The sequence below is a fragment of the Homo sapiens genome, chromosome 7, assembly GCF_000001405.40.
Source record: "Homo sapiens chromosome 7, GRCh38.p14 Primary Assembly".
Taxonomy (NCBI): domain Eukaryota; kingdom Metazoa; phylum Chordata; class Mammalia; order Primates; family Hominidae; genus Homo; species Homo sapiens.
The window spans coordinates 71,559,199-71,578,425 of NC_000007.14; the positions used below are offsets into that span (position 1 = coordinate 71,559,199).

General features: G+C 46.9%; 1 protein-coding gene across 3 annotated transcripts in view; it reads left to right on the forward strand.

Moving 5' to 3' along the window:
• GALNT17 (polypeptide N-acetylgalactosaminyltransferase 17) overlaps positions 1-19,227 on the forward strand; it is a 581,456-nt gene that overhangs the window by 427,055 nt on the left and 135,174 nt on the right. For all 3 annotated transcript variants that reach the window (NM_022479.3, XM_011516467.4, XM_017012521.3), the window contains exon 6: positions 12,087-12,204. In NM_022479.3, coding sequence (NP_071924.1) covers positions 12,087-12,204 — 118 coding nt within the window. The remainder of the gene's footprint in view (positions 1-12,086; positions 12,205-19,227) is intronic.

Sequence of the window (19,227 nt, forward strand, 5' to 3'; positions counted from 1 at the left end):
GGCAATTGGAACTCTGGGCATTAAATTACCGTAATGTGCCAGTTGAGAATTCTATTCAAGCCAGCCAACTCCTTCCTCAAAATTATATTTTTAGTGTTTAGCAGCTGCAAGTTCCCAGAAATCTTCAAAGTGGGATCACTTATTTCACCCAGTGCAAGAGCTCTTAGCTGCTGCCAGTGTGAGATGATCTGGTCTGGGAGGCAGTTGGGTACCTGGGAGGGGCGAGAGATCAGAGGCCCCCTGGGTTGCCCTTAGTTCTGCACTTATTTGCATATGCTTCCCCTTGGTCAGGTTACTGAACCTCTGAGCCTCAGTTGGAAAATGGGGCTAATAATATCTACCAAATGGAGCTGCTTTGAGGATTCAAAATAATTATGAATCAACCAGGCGCAGTGGCTCACAGCTTTAATCCCACCATTCTGAGAGGCCATGGTGTAAGGATCGCTTGAGGCCAGGAGTCGGAGACCAGCCTGGGCAACAGAGTGGGACCTTGTTTCTACCAAAAGGAAACAATTCGCAGGGCATGGTGGTGTGTGCCTATAGTCCCAGCTATTTGAGAAGCTGAAGTGGGAGGATTGCTTGAGCCGGGAGATCGAGGCTGCAGTGAGCCGAGATTGCACTACTGCACTCCAGCTTGGAGTGCAGGTTCTTTTTTCTGTCTTATGTATTAAAAAGAAACACATTTTCAACATTAAAAACAAAAAAAAAAAAATCAGCCAGGCGCGGTAGCTCACGCCTGTAAATCCCAGCACTTTGAGAGGCTGCAGCGGGCAAATCGCGAGGTCAGGAGTTCGAGACCAGCCTAGCCAAGATGGTGAAACCTCATCTCTACAAAAATACAAAAAATTAGCTGGGTGTAGTGGTAGGTGCCTGTAATCCCAGCTACTCGGGAGGCTGAGGCAGGAGAATCGCTTGAATCCGGGAGGCGGAGGTTGCAGTGAGCCAAGATCATGCCACTGCGGTCCAGCCCAGGGGACAGAGTGAGACTCCATCTCAAAAAAAAAAAAAAAAAAAAAAAGAAAGAATCACAAATTGTCCTAAGGTAGCAGCAGATGCATTGAGATGCCCAGTAAAGGGTGCTGTTGGTCTCAGTGATGTGCTCCTATCTCATTCTCCTCCTCCTTCCCTGCCTGGTCTTTTGGCCACCGTGGCTTACCGTTATCCCCGCAAAACAGGATCCATTTGCTTGGGGAGTAACAAGCAACTCCCCATGAGAACACAGGCTTTGATCAATAGGGAATTGATCACTTGTCACAAGGAAGGAGAGCATGGGAGTATCCTCCAAAGCAGTGTCTCCCGTGGGAAAGTGACAGGAGGGTTTTATGGAATGATGGAGAGGGGAGAGGGTGTGTCATCACATGCAGAGGAGGGGTCCTAGTGGCGCAGGCACAGGGAGCCATCATGCCTTCGTGCCAGCACCCAGGTTGCATGTGATGGTAACGGAGCTGTAGCTCTCTTTAGCACCGTCATGAGAAAGTTCACTTGAGTTCATCTATAAATCGCTGGGGGAGGTCTGTCAGGAGGCGGTGTTAACCAACTAGGTGACCATATAGGGTTTAGGAAGAAACAGGCTTCAGGGCAGGAGCCTGTAAAACAGGCTGATTGCTCAAATTGAGCACATTCCTATAATCCCTGGAGACCCTGCCTGTTTGCTTACAATACTGGTGCCTGTGCCAGTGGGTATAGATTGGATGTGTGATACAACCAAAGAAGGGCAACATCTGCATTGGACATTTATTCTACTGTATTAGGAGATGGTGTAAAAGAATTCACCGTTGCTGATGTAACAAAATGCACTGAAATGAGTGAATTTGTTTTTGTTTTTGTTTTTTGAGACAGAGTCTCGCTCTGTCGGCCAGGCTGGAGTGCAGTGGCATGATCTTGGCTCACTGCAACCTCCACCTCCCGGGTTCAAGCGATTCGCCTGACTCAGCCTCCCGAGTAGCTGGGACCACAGGCACGCACCACCATGCCTGGCTAATTTTTGTATTTTTAGCAGACACAGGGTTTTGCCATGTTGCCCGAGCTGGTCTTGAACTCTGACCTCAGGTGATCCGCCCACCTCGGCCTCCCAAAGTGCTGGGATTACAGGCATGAGCCACTGCACCCAGCCTGAAATGAGTGAATTTGCATTAACCAACCTACTGATTGCCAAAGAAGTTGGCGGTACTACGAAAACACTCAGTACTGATTATACCTTGAGGGTTGGATTTGCAGACATTCATACCAGGACAACTCCAGGGGTGAGGATGAGTGTTTTGCACGTGGGACCTTGGAATGAGAAAGTGCTTAGCAAACAGCTGAAGCAGAACTAAGACCAAAGAAAACGGCAGCCTGTTTGAGTCTGAGGTCAGAGAAAAGCAGCAAGTCCCAGCAGGCCAGTGGGAATCAGGAAATAGAAAATAGAGTCAGCCCCTGATCCCTGGGTCAGGAACCATCATCATGATAGAATTTGGAGATATGGCTGCCAGAGAACAGAGACCAACGGGTGGCTGGGGTCTAAGAGAATGTCAAGAGATGACAGGTGTCAGGGAAAAGCAAGGGTAAGACATGACACCACCAGGACTTGTGCCCAACAGGTGACTGAGACAGCGAGCCACATGGTGACAAGCAGGCATCCAAGCGGGAGAATGTCACCAAACAGGGGAATGAGGGGTGGGTGGAAGACACTGGTCCAAAGGGGCTGCCTTCTGGTACATTCTGGAGATAGACACTCCCCTGATTTACAGGCTATGGATCAGCAGATTTTGTTTTGTTTTTTGTCTTTTTTTTTTTGAGATGGGGTCTCGCTCTGTCACCCAGGCTGGAGTGCAGTGGTGCGATCATAGCACACTACAGTGTCCAACTCCCAGGCTCAAGTGATTCTCCAGCCTCAGCCTCCCAAGTAACTGGGAATACAGGTGCGCACCACCATGCCTGGTTATTTTTTTAAAAAATTATTTTTGGTAGAAATACATAGTCTCACTATGCTGCCCGGTCTGTTCTCAAACTCCTGGACTCAAGCAATCCTCTAGCCTTGGCCTCCCAAGTGCAAGGATTACAGGTGTGCACCACTGCATCTGGTTCACAGTCTCTGGTTTCTAGCTCCTTCTTTTCTCTCCACCACTGGAGCCTGCTCTTCCCATACCTACAGCCTCACTCATTGATGTACAACACAGGGACACAAGCCTTCAACCAGAAATCATTATTATTACATTGTAATATATAATGAAATAGTTCTACAACTCACCATCATGTAGAATCAGTGGGAGCCCTGAGCTTGTTCCTGCAACTAGAGGGTCCCATCTGGGGGTGATGGGAGACGGTGACAGATCATCAGGCATTAGATTCTCATAAGCAGCTCTCAGCCTAGATCCCTTGAATGCACAGTTCACAACAGGGTGTGCACACCTATGAGAATCTAATGCCGCTGCTGCTCTGACAGGAGGCAGAGCTCAGGCGGTAATGCGAGTGATGGGAAACCTCATCTGTCAGTACAGATGAAGCTTTACTCACTTGCCTGCCACTCACCTCCTGATGGGCAACTTGGTTCCTAACAGGCCATCAACTGGTGCTGGTCCATGGCCTGGGGGTTGAGGACCCCTGGTATAGAGTAGCCAGGCGAAAGGATCTATAGGGTTGATGGCTGGAAAGGAATTAAGAGAGGCAGAGATGCCAAGGAAGAACTTGTACTTAATTCAGAAGGGAATAGTGAGCCACTGAAGGCTTTAGAGGAGGGGAAGCATCTAGAATGAAGATGAGTCCTTTTTCACCTATGAAAAGAAAACACAATGAGCTCAAGAAAGCTGTATATGTCTTGGTGCAAATATCGGGCTGCCACCCTCTTCTCACTGTCTATTCCTTTTCTGTCATTCAGTTGGAACTGTTGTGTGTGTTGCATATATTTCTGTAACAGCACCAATAAGTGATTATTTTTAATTTCTGTTCTTCTCTTCTGTAATGGAGCTATTAGGCTTTGGCAGATCCCTTAATATGATTATCATTTTTGAATGATTTTGAATTGAAGTGTTTGCACTCATGGTCGTAATCGCAGTTGACTTTGAAGGATGAGGCTGGAGACTCACGTTCTCTGATCTCTTCAGCCCGCAAGTGGTATCAACTGCAGCTTCCACAGCTGGGTAGGTGGTGGGGACACCTTGGAAGGGAAGCAGCAGCCGTGCTTTGCTCCTGATTGTCAGGATGAAGTGGCTGGCCTGCCACTCACGAGGCAGGTGCCAGATGGGATGGGTGGTAGCTTCCTGTTGGAGGACTGCCCCTCCCCAGTCAGAGGACAAGGACAGCTCCTCGTTTATCAGTCCAGGCAGGTAGCTCCAGAATACAAAGCAGGTGCCCACTGAGCTCGCCAGCAACGCTGACTGGCCTGTCCATGGGCAGATATGTCTTTTTTTTTTCTTTTTAAATTTGTTTTGAGACAGGGTCTCACTCTGTCACCCAGGCTGGAGTACAGTGGTGCAATTGCAGCCTCAACCTCCCAGGTTCAAATGATCCTCCCAACTTAGGCTCCCAAGTAGCTGGGACTATAGGCACATGCCGCCACACCTGACTAATTTTTTATTTTTCATAGAGACAGGGTCTCGCTATGTTGCCCAGGCTGGCCTCAAACTCCTTAGCTCAAGCAGTCCTCCCACCTTGACCTCTTTAAAGTGCTGGGATTACAGGTGTGAGCCACCATACTTGGCTAATTTTTTAATTTTGTGTAGTGATAGAGATTTTTGTACTTTTTGCTTTGTTGCCTGAGCTGGTCTCAAACTCCTGAGCTAAAGCGATCCTCCTGTCTCGGCCTTCCAAAGTATGAGGATTACAGGCATGAGCCACCCTGCCAGGGTGATATGTCCTTTCATTATTTAATGTCCTCCACAATGATCCAGTTAGACATTAGCCACGTGGCAGGGGTCTTGCCAGCTCCCAGCACTATAGGGAAGACTTGGTGTTTGCAGAACAGAGGCTTTCTGCTTCTGCTTCCAGGGAGGGTCACCTGCTGGGGCCAGTTCCAGCCTCTCCTTTCCAGCCTCTGTCAGGCTCTGTAAGCAGATTTTGATCGTGACGGGCAATTTTCTTTCTTTTTTTTTCTTTTCTTTTCTTTTTTTTTTTTTTTTTTTTTTTTGAGATGGAGTCTCACTCTGTCACCCAGGCTGGAGTGCAGTGTGGCATGATCTCTGCTCACTACAACCTCCTCCTCCCAGGTTCAAGTGATTTTCCTGCCTCAGCCTCCCAAGTAGCTGGGATTACAGGTGCCTACTACCACGCCCGGCTCATTTTTGTATTTTCAGTAGAGATGGGGTTTCACATGTTGGCCAGGCTGGCCTCAAATTCCTGACCTGAAGTGATCTGCCCACCTCAGCCTCCCAAAGTGCTGGGATTACAGGTGTGAGCCACTGCACCCAGCCAGTTAGGACAATTTTCCTGTGACACCAACAGCGACCATCGTCACACATTCATTCCACATCCCCGCTGCACTGGGCTTACCTCCTGCCCATTCATCTGTGGGTTCTGATGAGGCCCGCCTGGGACACAGGTGGAGGTCTGGTTTCCCACAGCCTCCTGGGCACCTCTGGGCTGCTGACCTGCCCTGGCCTGGTTTGAAGGAAGACATACCAAATGGAGACCTCACCACTTTGTTGTGAGAAATCCCAGGACTCAGAGAACCCTGTCATGTGTGCTGAGCAGAGCTGTTTCCAGCACAGAGGGGACTCCGGGCAAGTCATGCTGCGAAGCTTTCTCTCATTACCACACACAGCCACAGACACCATCCAGATAAAACCCAGTTACATTAAAGTATCAGGCTGGGCCGGGCACGGTGGCTCATGCCTGTAATCCCAGCACTTTCAGAGGCTGAAGCAGGTGAATAACTTGAGATCAGGAGTTCGAGACCAGCCTGGCCAACATGGTGCAACCCTGTCTCTACTAAACATACAAAAATTAGCCGGGCATGGTGCTGGGTGCCTGTAATCCCAGCTACTTGGGATGCTGAGGCAGGAGAATCGCTTGAACCCAGGAGGCGGAGACTGCAGTGAGCTGAGATGGCACCGCTGCACCCTAGCCTAAGCAACAGGGTGAGACTCCATCTCAAGAAAAAAAAAATCAGGCTCCTGACGGGGAAAGATGTTGCCCAAAGGGTAACTGAGAGGGATCTGAAGAAGAGGGAGCCTGTCTACTCCCCTCCTCAGTGAAGGTGATGTGATGAGCTTCTGATCCCTCTGTCTGCTCCCCTCTTTCCTCTCTCCTTTCCTCTCCCCTTCTCTACTGTCCTCTCCTTCCTCTCTCTAGCACTTCATCCTGCTCTCCCTTCTCCATCTTTCATCCCTCCCTCCCACCCCTAGTTAGAGCACACTCCCCTGATACCCAGTTGGTCCCTGAGGCATCATGGTGCTCTTCCCTACCAGGAGTCCTCCCCAGATCTGTTCTGCACATTCATTCACTCAACAGTATTTGGTGAGTGCTCTAGCTGCTGGAAATACCATGAGAAATGACAGGCATAACTTCTCTGCTCTCAGGGAGATACCTGAACATCTGGTGGGGTAGAAGGCTCCACAGCCACAGCATGGTCCCACAGATACAAACACAAATCTCTGAGTCCCATCTCTGGACCCAGTCCATAGTTCTGGACCAGACCCAAGAAGCTGCATTTTTTTTTCTCTTCTCTTTTCTTTTTTTTTTTTTTTTGAAACGGAGTCTCGCTCTTTCCCCCAGGTTGGAGTGCAGTGGTGTGATCTCGGCTCACTGCAACCTCTGCCTCCTGGGTTCAAGCGATTCTCTTGCCTCAGCCTCCCGAGTAGCTAGGATTACAGGTGCGTGCTACTAGGCCTGGCTAATTTTGTGGGTTTTGTTTGTTTGTTTGTTTGTTTGTTTGTTTGTAGTAGAGACAGGGATTTTCCCATGTTGGCCAGGCTGGTCTTGAACTCCTGACCTCAAGTGATCTGCCCACCTTGGCCTCCCAAAGTGCCGGGATTACACGCATGAGCCACACCACACCTGGCCAGAAGCTGCATTTTCTAAGGAGTTATTGGGTTGATGCTGATGCAGTCAGCCCCTAGACTGACCTCTGGGAAACAACTTTTCTGCACACAGGGCAATGCCCAAAGCCACCGCTTTGGGAGAGTTTGTGGCCTGGGCGCTTTCTGTGATTTTAACTACCCTGTTTGCCTCTGAGAGGTTAGAAAGCAGAGTCTTAGAGCAGGGTCTTCACTACACACTCTTGTCAATGTTGGGTGTTTTCAGACTCCAAGCATAGGCTTTTGGGGAGATTTTTTGTAACTTATCAGAATTGCTTGATGTGCTCAGAAACACCCTCTAGAAAATGGAGCTAACGCCGAGGACATCTCCCAGTCCCCTGCTTCTGTGCTGATGCCAGCATACCCAGGGACCTGTGGCACTAGCATATCTCCATAACTCGGGCAGACTCTGATTCCGGCTCTTCCAGAAGGAATCTTCCCTGTAGCCTTCCTCTTCTAGCTGCGAGATAAAGCTTTTTTTTTTTTTTTTTTCCTGCTCTGGATCATAAGTAGGAGGGGTTAGCGTAGGTCATCATCACCGTTTGGTTGCAAAGAACGGAAACTTATCTAACACTGTTTATGTGGAGAAGGACCGATTGCAAAGACACAAAGGACCCTCCTGTAACTTAGGGGCGGAGAGCAGAGCCAGGGCTCTCAGCAGATGGAAAGCCAGGATTCCTGGGTGGCCAGTCACCCCCACGTCCATGTAGTCTCCATTGTACATCTGCCTCCTCCTTCTGCTCAATCATCCGTGTGCATGGAGCCCCTCAGGAACTGCTCACGGTGGCGGCCTGAGCCCTGAACGCGTGTGAGCCTATTGAGTTCTAGCTCCCAGAGTTGTCTTCATTTCCAAAGCCACCCCTTCAGGAGAAACCTAATTCCAAGCTTCAGAGGAAACATAATTTGTCCTGGCTTGGGATCAGTGCTCATTTTCTGGTTTGGTTAACTGAGGCCAGGGAATGGGCTCATTTGATGCTTTTCCAGACTAAAGGTCAGGCTGCTTCTCTAAAAGGCGCCAAGAGCTGGGAGGAAATGATGCACATTAGAAGCCATGCTTTCCCCTGGCATAGTCCAGGGTGAACCTGCTACACCAGCAGGAGCAAGGTCCCGTTTGCATAAGTGTGATTGGCATGCGATTTCTGTAAACACACAGAAGGGCACCTCCCAGTAAGAAGGTGAAGGCGCATTACTTATTGAGCTCCTGCTCTGTGCACTGGGCCCATTGCAGGTTTTCTCTTGTTTAATCCACACAACAATACCCTGTAGAGATTTTTTTGTTTGTTTGTTTGTTTGAGACGGAGTCTCGCTCTGTCACCCAGGCTGGAGTGCAGTGGTGCGATCTTGGCTCACTGCAGCCTCCGCCTCTCAGGTTCAAGCGATTCTCCTGCCTTAGCCTCCTCAATAGCTGGGGTTACAGGTGCACACCACCACGCCCAGCTAATTTTTGTATCTTTAGTAGAGACGGGGTGTCACCATGTTGGTCAGGCTGGTCTCAAACTCCTGACCTTGTGATCCGCCCACTTCAGCCTCCCAAAGTGCTGGGGTTACAGGTGTGAGCCACCGCACCCAGCCCCTTGTAGAGATTTAACAGGAATCTAGAGTGCTCCATTGACTTATGCAATTATAGTCTTCGGTGGCAGCACCAGCGTTTAACTACACATTTCATGCTTGTGCCACCACTGAAGGTGAATGAAGAGGCTCATCCACTGCTGCCTCACCACATGGGTACCAAGTGGCTTTCCATGGAATCAGAAACCTGGATGTGAAGGTCGAAGTCAAGTTAGAAGTCATAACCAGCCGATGAGGGTCCGAGACTACAGTCCACCCTTTGGCTCCAAAGAATTCCACCTAATAGCTTCCTGGTGGCCCCAGTGGAGTTTCAATGGACCTCCTGCGTGAGGTGTCTCTTTTGCCCAGGGAAGCACCTTAACGGTGTTTCTGGCCTTTGGCAGTGGGGGCATTTGCCAGTTCCTCCATGAAGCCTTTTCTAAAGCGTGCAGTAAAGCAAAAGGGCTAAAATCAAGGGCTTTGAAGGCAGGCAGATGCTGAGTTCTATTCTGTGACTCAGGGCAGGTCACCTAATCTCCGTGTGCCTCAGTCGTTCAGTGGAGATGGTTCTGCCTCCTTCAGTGGATTGTGGCAGTGCATACACGAGATGTGCGTGGAAAGTGCTTTGCATCTTGTGCTTGAGACAGGAAATTGCTAAATAAATGGTTGCAATAACAATACTAATTTTTGTATTATTCTTATATTCACTCTTAGTTGCTCGGATGACAGAGGCATGTCTGCTATTTTCCCATCTGCTACAGCACCAGCAAAATGCCTTAAACATCTTTATCTCCATGTGTACCCAATGTTTAGCTCCAAATTACAAGTGAGAACATGCGGTCTTTGGTTTTCTGTTCCTGAGTTAATTTGCTTAGGATAGTGGTCTCCAGCTGCATCCGGGATCTAGAGTACATCCAGCCATAGCAAAGGGCATGATTTGGTAGATGCTGAGCAAATATTTACTCAATGAATTTATTATGTAAGGGTGACTATAAAGTCTGGAAACAGAGGCAAAAAGATATAATAAATTATCTATTGATACTATACTACAATGCACAATGTAATACAATACAATACTTAATATTTATCAGTGTGATTTTTCTAATTTACAATGCATGGTCCCATGCATCATACAACATTGCAATGAACGTGGTAGAATAATGCAGCATTCCTGTCAACCACTGCACATATATGCATGTGTGGTATTGTCTCACATGATTTATCAATTGATTGATTGATTGATTGATTTTTGAGATGGAGCCTCACTCTGTTGCCCAGGCTGGAGTGCAGTGGTGCGATCTCAGCTCACTGTAACCTCTACCTCCCAGGTTCAAGTGATTCTCCTGCCTCAGCCTCCCGAGTAGCTGAGACTAAAGGCACGCACTACAATGCCTGGCTAATTTTTTTATCTTTAGTAGAGACGGGGTTTCACCATGTTGGCCAGGATGGTCTCGATCTCCTGACCTTGTGATCCCCCTGCCTCGGCCTCCCAAAGTTCTGGGATTACAGGCGTGAGTCATCGTGCCCGGCTCTAACATGATTTTTTAAGAATTTTGGATACAAGAGGTACACGTGCAGATTTGTTACATGGGTATATTGAGTGATGCTGAAGTTTGGGCATCTGTTGATCCCATCACCTAAATTGTGAACAGAGTACCCAATAGGTAGTTTTTCAACTCTCCCCTCTCCCTCCCTACCTGCTTTTGGAGTTCCGAAGTGACTATTGTTACCATCTTTATGCCTGTGTGTACCCAATGTTTAACTCTCACTTACAAGTGAGAGCGAATGGTATTTGATTTTCTGTTCCTGCATTAATTTGTTTGTTAGCTCGGCCAGAAGATGCATTGCATTTTCAAAGGAGCTGTTGGGTTGATGCTGATGCAGTTGGTCCCTGGACTGAACTCTGGGGAACAACTTTTCCACACTAGTCTTGAATGGCTGTGTCCATGCTGCAGCAAAGGGCATGATATCGTTCCTTTTTATGGCTGCATAGTATTCCATGGTGTATATGCACCACATTTTTTTTTAATCCAGTCTACAATTGATGAGCACATGGGTTGATTTCATGATTTTGCTATTGTGAATATTGCTGCAATGAACGTAGGAATACAGGTGTCTTTTTGGTAGAACTATTTATTTTCCTTTGGGTAGATACCCATTAATGGGATTGTTTGGTTGAATGGTAGTTCTATTTTTAGTTCTTTGAGAAATTTCCAAACTGCTTTCCACAGGGTCTAAACTATTTTACACTGCCACCAATGGTGTGTAAGTGTTTTCTTTTCTCCACACCTTGCCAACATCTGGTGGGTTTTGTTTTTTTGGTTGTTTTTTTTTTTTAACTTTTTAATAATAATTGTTCTGACAGGTGGCCTCACATGGTTCTTGTCTCTAATTTTCAATAGGTCAACTTGTGCCTTTAGCCTTCCCCAGAAGAAACAACCAAGGGGATGAATTTATACAAAAATAAAATAATCCTTTGTCCCGACTTCATGGTTACTCTACACGTGCTCTCTTTGTCTCTCCTGCTGAGACCTCCTCTCTGCGGGCTGAGGTCATGCCCTTGCCATTTATGATGGATACCTTTAGGCACTAGGATGTGTTTCCTCCCTGAGTCTTCTCCCTTCTCTAAAGACCCCACCCTGGTCCACTTTCTTCCAGCATAACGTGGAAATTGGAGCCCTTGCTTGCAATCTTCCTCTCTCCAGTTTCCCATTGCACTCCTAACTTGCTCATTCTCTTTTTCCTGGGGTGGGGAGTGGTGCATCTTGCTTCTCACCTCCAAGCTTCTTTGAGACTGCACAAGGACCCCCCATCCCATCACTCAGCTGTCAACAGAGTGCAGCAGGGACCGCTTCCTATGTGTGCAGACGCCATGGGATACGGGAGACCAGCCCTTACCCCATCTATGAGGGAGTCACATTATCCCTAGATGCTTTTGAAGCTAAAAGACAGCCTCACAGGCTGGGCATGGTGTTTCATGCCTGTAATCCCAGCACTTTGGGACGCTGAGGTGGGCAGATCACCTGAGGTCAGGAGTTCGAGACCAGCCTGACCAACATGGAGAAACCCCGGCTCTACTAAAAATACAAAATTAGCTGTGCATGGTGGCGCATCCTGTAATCCCAGCTACTCAGGGGGTTGAGGCAGGAGAATTGCTTGAACCTGGGAGGTGGAGGTTGCGGTGAGCCAAGATTGTATCATTGCACTCCAGCCTGGGCAAGAAGAGCAAAACTCCGACTCAAAACAAAAACAAAAACAAAAAACAGCCTTACAGAGTAACAGAGAGAGGAGGTGTGGGAATTGAGGGAAGTGACTTGATTTGCTAGGCTGGAACCAGTACATGCTAGGCTGGAACCCAGTACATGCTAGGCTGGAACCCAGTACATGCTAGGCTGGAACCCAGTACATGCTAGGCTGGAACCCAGTACATGCTAGGCTGGAACCAGTACATGCTAGACCGGAACCAGTACATACTAGGACGGTGCCTATGGAAGGGCTTCTGGCACTGACACCTCAATGAGCTTCCCTTCTTTCTCCCTCCCTCAGGACCCCAGCCATGATAGGCTGCTCGTTCGTGGTCAACAGGAAGTTCTTCGGTGAAATTGGTCTTCTGGATCCTGGCATGGATGTATACGGAGGAGAAAATATTGAACTGGGAATCAAGGTTTGTGACATGGTGTCCCTTCCTCTTGGTGTGCCCATGTTTGTGAGCAGAGCGTCTTGGTCATCCGTGGGGTGTATTTAAAGCTCCTTACAGCTGATGAATGACAGATTCATTTACTCCACCTTGTTCCTGGGGGATGCATGAGCTGCACTGTCACCCCTCCTTATGTAGGGAAACCTGGGCTTTCCCCTGTCTAAAAGTTGGCTGATAGGTTTCATGCCATTGCTACCCACTCTGGGCATTAGCTGGAGAGGGTGGTTCCCACTCCCATTCAGTTTTGGTCTCTCCTTAAATTTTTCTTAAATGATCTCCTTAAATTAATATTTTCAGGCCAGGCACAGTGGCTTATGCCTGTAATCCCAACACTTTGGGAGGCCACGGTGGTGCGATCACTTAAGACCAGGCATTCAAGACAAGCCTGGGCAACAGAGCAAGACCCTGTCTCTACAAAAAATAAAAAATTAGCCAAGCGTGATGGTGCATGTCTGTGTCCCAGCTCCTCTGGAGACTGAGGTAGGAGGATGGCTTGAGCCCAGGAGTTCGAGGCTGCAGTGAGCTATGATGGCATCACTGCACTCTAGCCTGGGCAACAGAGCAAGAGAGACCCTGTCTCTCTCACAAAGGCATTTGTGGTTTAGTTTTTACATCCGCAGATTTATTTTTAACAGTTTTATTGAGATGTTATTGACATATACAGATTTTGGTGGCTCACACCTGTAATCCCAGTGACTTGGGAAGCCGAGTCAGGAGGATCACATGAGCCCAGGAATTCAAAACCAGGCTGGGCAAAGTAGGAAGACGCTGTCTCTATGAAAAATAAAAAAAAAAAAAGCTCATATATATAATCCCAGGGACTTCGGAAACCAAATCAGGGGGGTCACTTGAGCCCAGGAGTTCAAAACCAGCCTGGGTGACATAACAAAACCACCATCTCCACAAAAGATAAAAAATTAGCCAGGTGTGATTGTGTGAACCTGTAGTCCCAGCTACTCAGGAGGCTGAAGCAAGAAGATCGCTTGAGCCCAGGAGTTCAAGGCTTCAGTGAGCCATGATTATGCCATTACACTCCAGCCCAGGCAACAGAGCAAGACCCTGTCTCATTAAAAAAAAAAAAAAAAAAAAAAAAAACTACATGTTTAAGGTGTACAGGTGATGTTTGGATATACATATACATTGTGAAATGAGCACCACAATCAAACTGAGTGACACATCCATTACCTCCATCTAATTACCACTGTGTGTGGAGGCTGGTGAGAAGATTTAATTTAAGATCTATCCTCTTAGCAAATTAAAAGTCTACAATACCATATCATTAACTGTGGCCACCATGCTGTACATTAGATCTCCAGAAATGATTCATTTTGCTTTGCAGTGACGTGGCAGGAAAAGTCTGAGTGTGAGGCTCTGCAGGCTTGGTGGTGATGGTGGTAACTGCTTAGCAGGCAAGACTGTGTGGCTGTCCCCAATCCCTAAAGCAAGGAGGGGACTCCTGGGTCCTTCCCCAGCAGCACAGTCCTGTCCACCAACACCCCTGTACGACCAGATTGTGGGATCATGTAGATTCTCCCTTCACTCCCTATTTTTTGTTTTTTTATTTATTTATTTTATTTTATTTTATTTTATTTGAGATGAAGTCTTGCTTTGTTGCCCAGGCTGGGTGCAGTGGTGTGATCTTGGCTCACCGCAACCTCCATCTCCCAGGTTCAAACGATTCTCCGGCCTCAGCTTCTCAAGTAGCTGGGATTACAGGCACGTGCCACTGCACCTGGCTAATTTTTTATATTTTTAGTAGAGATGGGATTTCACCATGTTGACCACACTGGTCTTGAACTCCTGACCTTAGCTGATCTTCCCGCCTCGGCCTCCCAAAGTGCTGGGATTACAGACATGAGCTCCCATGCCTGGCCTTTAATTAATTAATTAATTTATTTATTTATTTATTTTTTGAGAAGTAGTCTTGCTCTGTCGCCCAGGCTGGAGTGCAGTGGCGCGATCTCGGCTCACTGCAAGCTCCACCTCCTGGGTTCACGCCATTCTCCCACCTCAGCCTCCCAAGTAGCTGGGACTACAGGCGCCTGCCACCTTGCCCGGCTAATTTTGTTTTTGTCTTTTTAGTAGAAATGGGATTTCACTGTGGTAGCCAGGATGGTCTCAATCTCCTGACCTTGTGATCTGCCCACCTCAGCCTCCCAAAGTGCTGGGATTACAGGCGTGAGCCACCACACCTGGCCTATTTTATTTTTTATTTTTTTCTTTTAACTTTCATTTTAGGTTCAGGGGTTCATGTGCAGGTTTGTTATATAGGTGAATTGTGTATTACCTGTATTGATAATTGACACCTCAATGAGCACAGATTGGTGCACAGATTATTACCCAGGTAGTAAGCATAGTACCTGATAGGTAGTTTTGATCCTCACCCTCCTCCCACCCTCTGCCCTCAAGTAGGCCCCAGTGTCTGTGGTTCCCTTCTTTGTGATGATATGTGCTCAATGTTCAGTTCCCACTTATACATGAAAACATGCAGTATTTGGTTGGATGTTCCTGCATTAATTCGATTAGGATAATGGCCTCCAGCTCCATCCGTGATCTCCTTCTTCTTACAGCTGTGCAGTATTCCATTGCGTACATGTACAACACTCTCTTTACCTGTTCTGCCATTGATGGGTATTTAAGTTGATTCCATGTCTTTGCTATTGTGAATAGTGCTGCAATGAACATACGTGTGCATGTGTCTTTATGGTAGAATGATTTGTATTCTTTTGGGTCTATACCCAGTAGTAAATGAGATACTGGGTCAAATGGTAATTCTATTTTAAGTTCTTTCAGCCGTTGTGGAAGGCAGTTTGGGGATTCCTCACTCCTTGTTGATGGGCTGGAATGAATGGTCCCTGCAGAGCCCAGTCTGCCCCCAGGCAATTTCTCCCTGGCTTTGTCTCCATGACAATTCAGCTCCCCCACTGCTCAGGGTAGGTCTTTATTAAAGTGTCACTTGCATCAGGGTCATAGATGTCACTCCAGAGTGCAATTACCTGCCTCTTACAGTACTTCAAGGCATCTCCAGCTTCTGGAGATGGGGGAATAATTTTGCCTCTTAACTTTCCATAGACCACATCATCCTGCAGGCTGCAAGGTGATCTTGACATAAGCCTTGGTTTTCTGCCAGTTCTTAAAGTGGGATTGAGTGCTGCTGGTTGCAGAAAGGCAAAGGTCTGGGTTTGGAGTCTACACAGAATTCTCTGGTTCTCATGTTTCCAGTCAGAAGCATTCACCTCACCTGGGAACTTGTTAGAAGTGAAAATTCTTGGGCCCCATCCCAGACCTACTGAATCAGAAACTCTGGAGTGGCAGGGAGTCCAGCTCCCTGTGTTTACCAAGCCCTCCTACCCCACCAGGTAACTTAGTTATGGGCCCTTGTTGGAGAGCTACTGGTCTACCCCTAGGTTTAGCCGACTTCCTGGCAAATGCATGTCCTTTAGCAGAAAGGAGCCCAGGTGAGAATCCACCTCTTTCTAGTCCCTTCTCCAGGTGCCCTTCCATGGCCACACTGGCCCAAAGTGAGTCCTTTCTTCTCACTCCAGCCTACACAGCCAGAGTCCTGTAGGCACCAACATCTACTACCTTTTTAACTTCATGTACGGGTGTCTCGACCAGGTGACTACAGGGTTCCTGATGACAGAGCTCCGTTTTTCAAATGAAATAATATACACAAGGCACTTCTGAGACAATACTACTTCTCCTTTCATTTTGTGCTATTTTGTACTACTTAGGGCTTGAATGAATTGCATAATAAATGCATTCTTAAGAAATCCATCCCCACCGCCTGAATAAAGAAGCAGGGCTTTATGTAAATATATATACATGCATATATATAATTTTCATGTAGTGTACACACATACATTTACATATACAAGCTTACCTGTAAGTAATGACCCAAAACCCTATGCTTTCATTCAATGGAAAATTTTTAACATGAGAACACTATTTTCTTGATTTTTTTTTTTTTTTGAGACAGAGTCTCGCTCTGTCGCTGAGGCTGGAATGCAGTGACGCGATCTTGGCTCACTGCAGGCTCCGCCCTCGAGTTCACGCCATTCTCCTGCCTCAGCCTCCCGAGTAGCTGGGACTACAGGTGCCTGCCACCTCACCCGGCTAAGTTTTTGTACTTTTAGTAGAGACAGGGTTTCACCGTGTTAGCCAGGATGGTCTCGATCTCCTGACCTCGTGATCCGCCCGCCTCGGCCTCCCAAAATGCTGGGATGACAGGAGTGAGCCACCGTGCCCGGCCATTTTTTTTTTAAACCAAGAAATGGCTCAATCTGTGATCTTTCTAACTAGTCTTTGAAATTTTGTGTTACTTTTTAATTCCATCCTCAGTAAGTAAAGATCTGTCAGAAGAACACAAGAATAGAAAGTCTTACTGTGAACAAAAATAGCAGTTGACTCTAGGGCTCTTGCCTGCATGAAAGGCAACTTGCCTGTGACTAAAACAATCAATACAGAAAAGAAGTTTTTAAAAAAGCCAGAATTGAGAAAATAAATGAGATGGAAATTGAAAGGTTTCATCTTGTTCTGAGTAATAGTAATCAGAAACTATTAACAAAGGGTATTATAGTAGCATGTCTAAATGTTAAGAGAAAAAAAAATTCTCCAAGGACAGAAGAAAAGATAGGTTACTTTAAAATGATGTAAAGTCATTCTCTAATATATCAGTCCATTTACGAAGAAAAGGCATTCTCTTCTTCTGTTCTCTTATATAAAAACATGGCACCCAAGACTGCTGCGTCCTGCTGGGGAGTCCTTTCTAAAGGAAGACAAGGGAGACACACTTTCAGATCCCCAAATGACCAAAGACTGTCTTGACTTTATCACGAATCCCAAGGACTGAATAAAAGGCAGAATTCTTGTGTGGATGCATTGAATTGTGAAAACACTTGTGAGAATGATTTATTTATTTTGGGTGTATATCCAGTAATGGGATTGCTGAATTGAATGGTAGTTCTGTTTTAAGTTTTTTGAGAAATCTCTGAACTGCTTTCCACAGTGGCTGAAGCAATTTACATTCCCACCAGCAGTGTACAAGTGTTCCTGTTCTCTGCAGCCTTGCCAGCATCTGTTGTTTTTTAACTTTGTGTGTGTGTGTGTGTGTGTGTGTGTGTGTGTGTGTTTTGTTTGTTTGTTTGTTTTTTGAGACAGAGTCTTGCTCTGTTGCCCAGGCTGGAGTGCAATGGCACGATCTCAGCTCACTGCAACCTCCGCCTCCCAGGTTCAAGTGATTCTTCTGCCTTAGCCTCCAGAGTAGCTGGGACTACAGGCACACACCATACTTGGCTAAGTTTTGTATTTTTAGTAGAGACAGGGTTTCCCCATGTTGCCCAGGATGGTCTCAAACTTCTGACCTCAAGTGATCTGCCCGCTTCGGTCTCCCAAAGTACTAGGACTACAGGCACGAGCCACGCTCCTGGCCTTGAATTTTTAATAATAGCCATTCTACCAAAAAGACATCTGCATTCATATGTTCATCACAGTGCTATTCGCAATGGCAAAGACATAGAATCAACCAGGTGCCTGTCAACAGTGGATGGGATAAAGAAAATGTGGTACGTAGACACCACAGAATACCATGCAACCCTAAAAAAGATTGAAATCATGTCCGTTGCAGCAACATGGATACAGTGAAAGGCCATTATCCTAAGTGAATTAACACAAGAACAGAAAACCGAATACCACATGTTCTCACTTATACGTGGGAACTAAACATTGGGTACCCATGGACATAAAGATGGGAATGACAGACACCAGGGACTACTAGAGTGGGGAGACAGACAGCAGCCAAGGGTTGAAAAACTACCTATTGGGTACTATGTTCACTACCTGGGTGATGGCATCGGTTGTTCCTCCAAAGCTCAGCATCACACACAACACCCATGTGAGAAACTTGCCTATGTATCCCCTGAAACTAAAACAAAAGTTGAAGTTTAAAAAATTAATACAAGAAATGAGCTCTCCATTCCCAGACACACACAAACACACGCACACACACGCAAAATTTTGACACCAGTAAGCCATCATGGAGGAAAGGATATAAGAGGGTTTGAGGATGCTCAAGTGAGATAACCTTCTTGCCGATTCCAGCCCAGCCCTCAGGGCCTTTCCATGGTTCAGCCCCTGCAGGGGTCTTCTTGTTGGGTTCCCTGTTGCTCCATAACAGTCACCAGGAAGCGATTCAGACTCTGAGTCCGTGTTGGCTTAGATGAGTCATGATGAGTGATGGGCAAAGAACAAGCGTATTTTAATTTGCACTCAGGGTAAACATAACATTCTTAAAAAGCAGAGTTTAACCCAGATGCCTTAATTGCTGGTTGCATAGCTCAAGATGTCTCTGAGCCATTCCATTTCTCTGAGGAGTTGGAGTGCCACTTTCAGGACTCAGGTGGAGACATGGTTAGAACTCCTGCCATCTTGTCTAGCTCTGTCCATTCAAGCTGAAGGCACTGAAGACCTGGGGGGTGGTTCGCAGACTCAGGGTTTCATAGTGTCTGAGCCAACTGAGATCACATCAGCAGTGGGTTTTGAAGGCTTGCTCCTTCGGAGGGGTTGTTTACATTTATTTATTTATTTATTTATTTATTTATTTATTTATTTATTTATTTTGAGATGGAGTTTCACTCTTGTTGCCCAGGCTGGAGTGCAGTGGCGCAGTCTCGGCTCACTGCAACCTCTGCCTCCTGGGTTCCAGCGATTCTCCTGCCTCAGCCTCCCAGCTAGCTGGGATTACAGGCACCCACCACCACGCCTGGCTAATTTTTTGCGTTTAATAGAGATGGGGTTTCACCATGTTGGTCAGGCTGGTCTGGAACTCCTGACCTCAGGTGATCCACCCACCTCGGCCTCCCAAAGTGCTGGGATTACAGGCATGAGCCATCACACCCGGCCTACAATTTTTATATATATAGACAAATTCTCACTGTCATCTAAGCTGGAGTGCAGTTACAAAAATTATAGCTCACTGCAGCCTCCAACTCC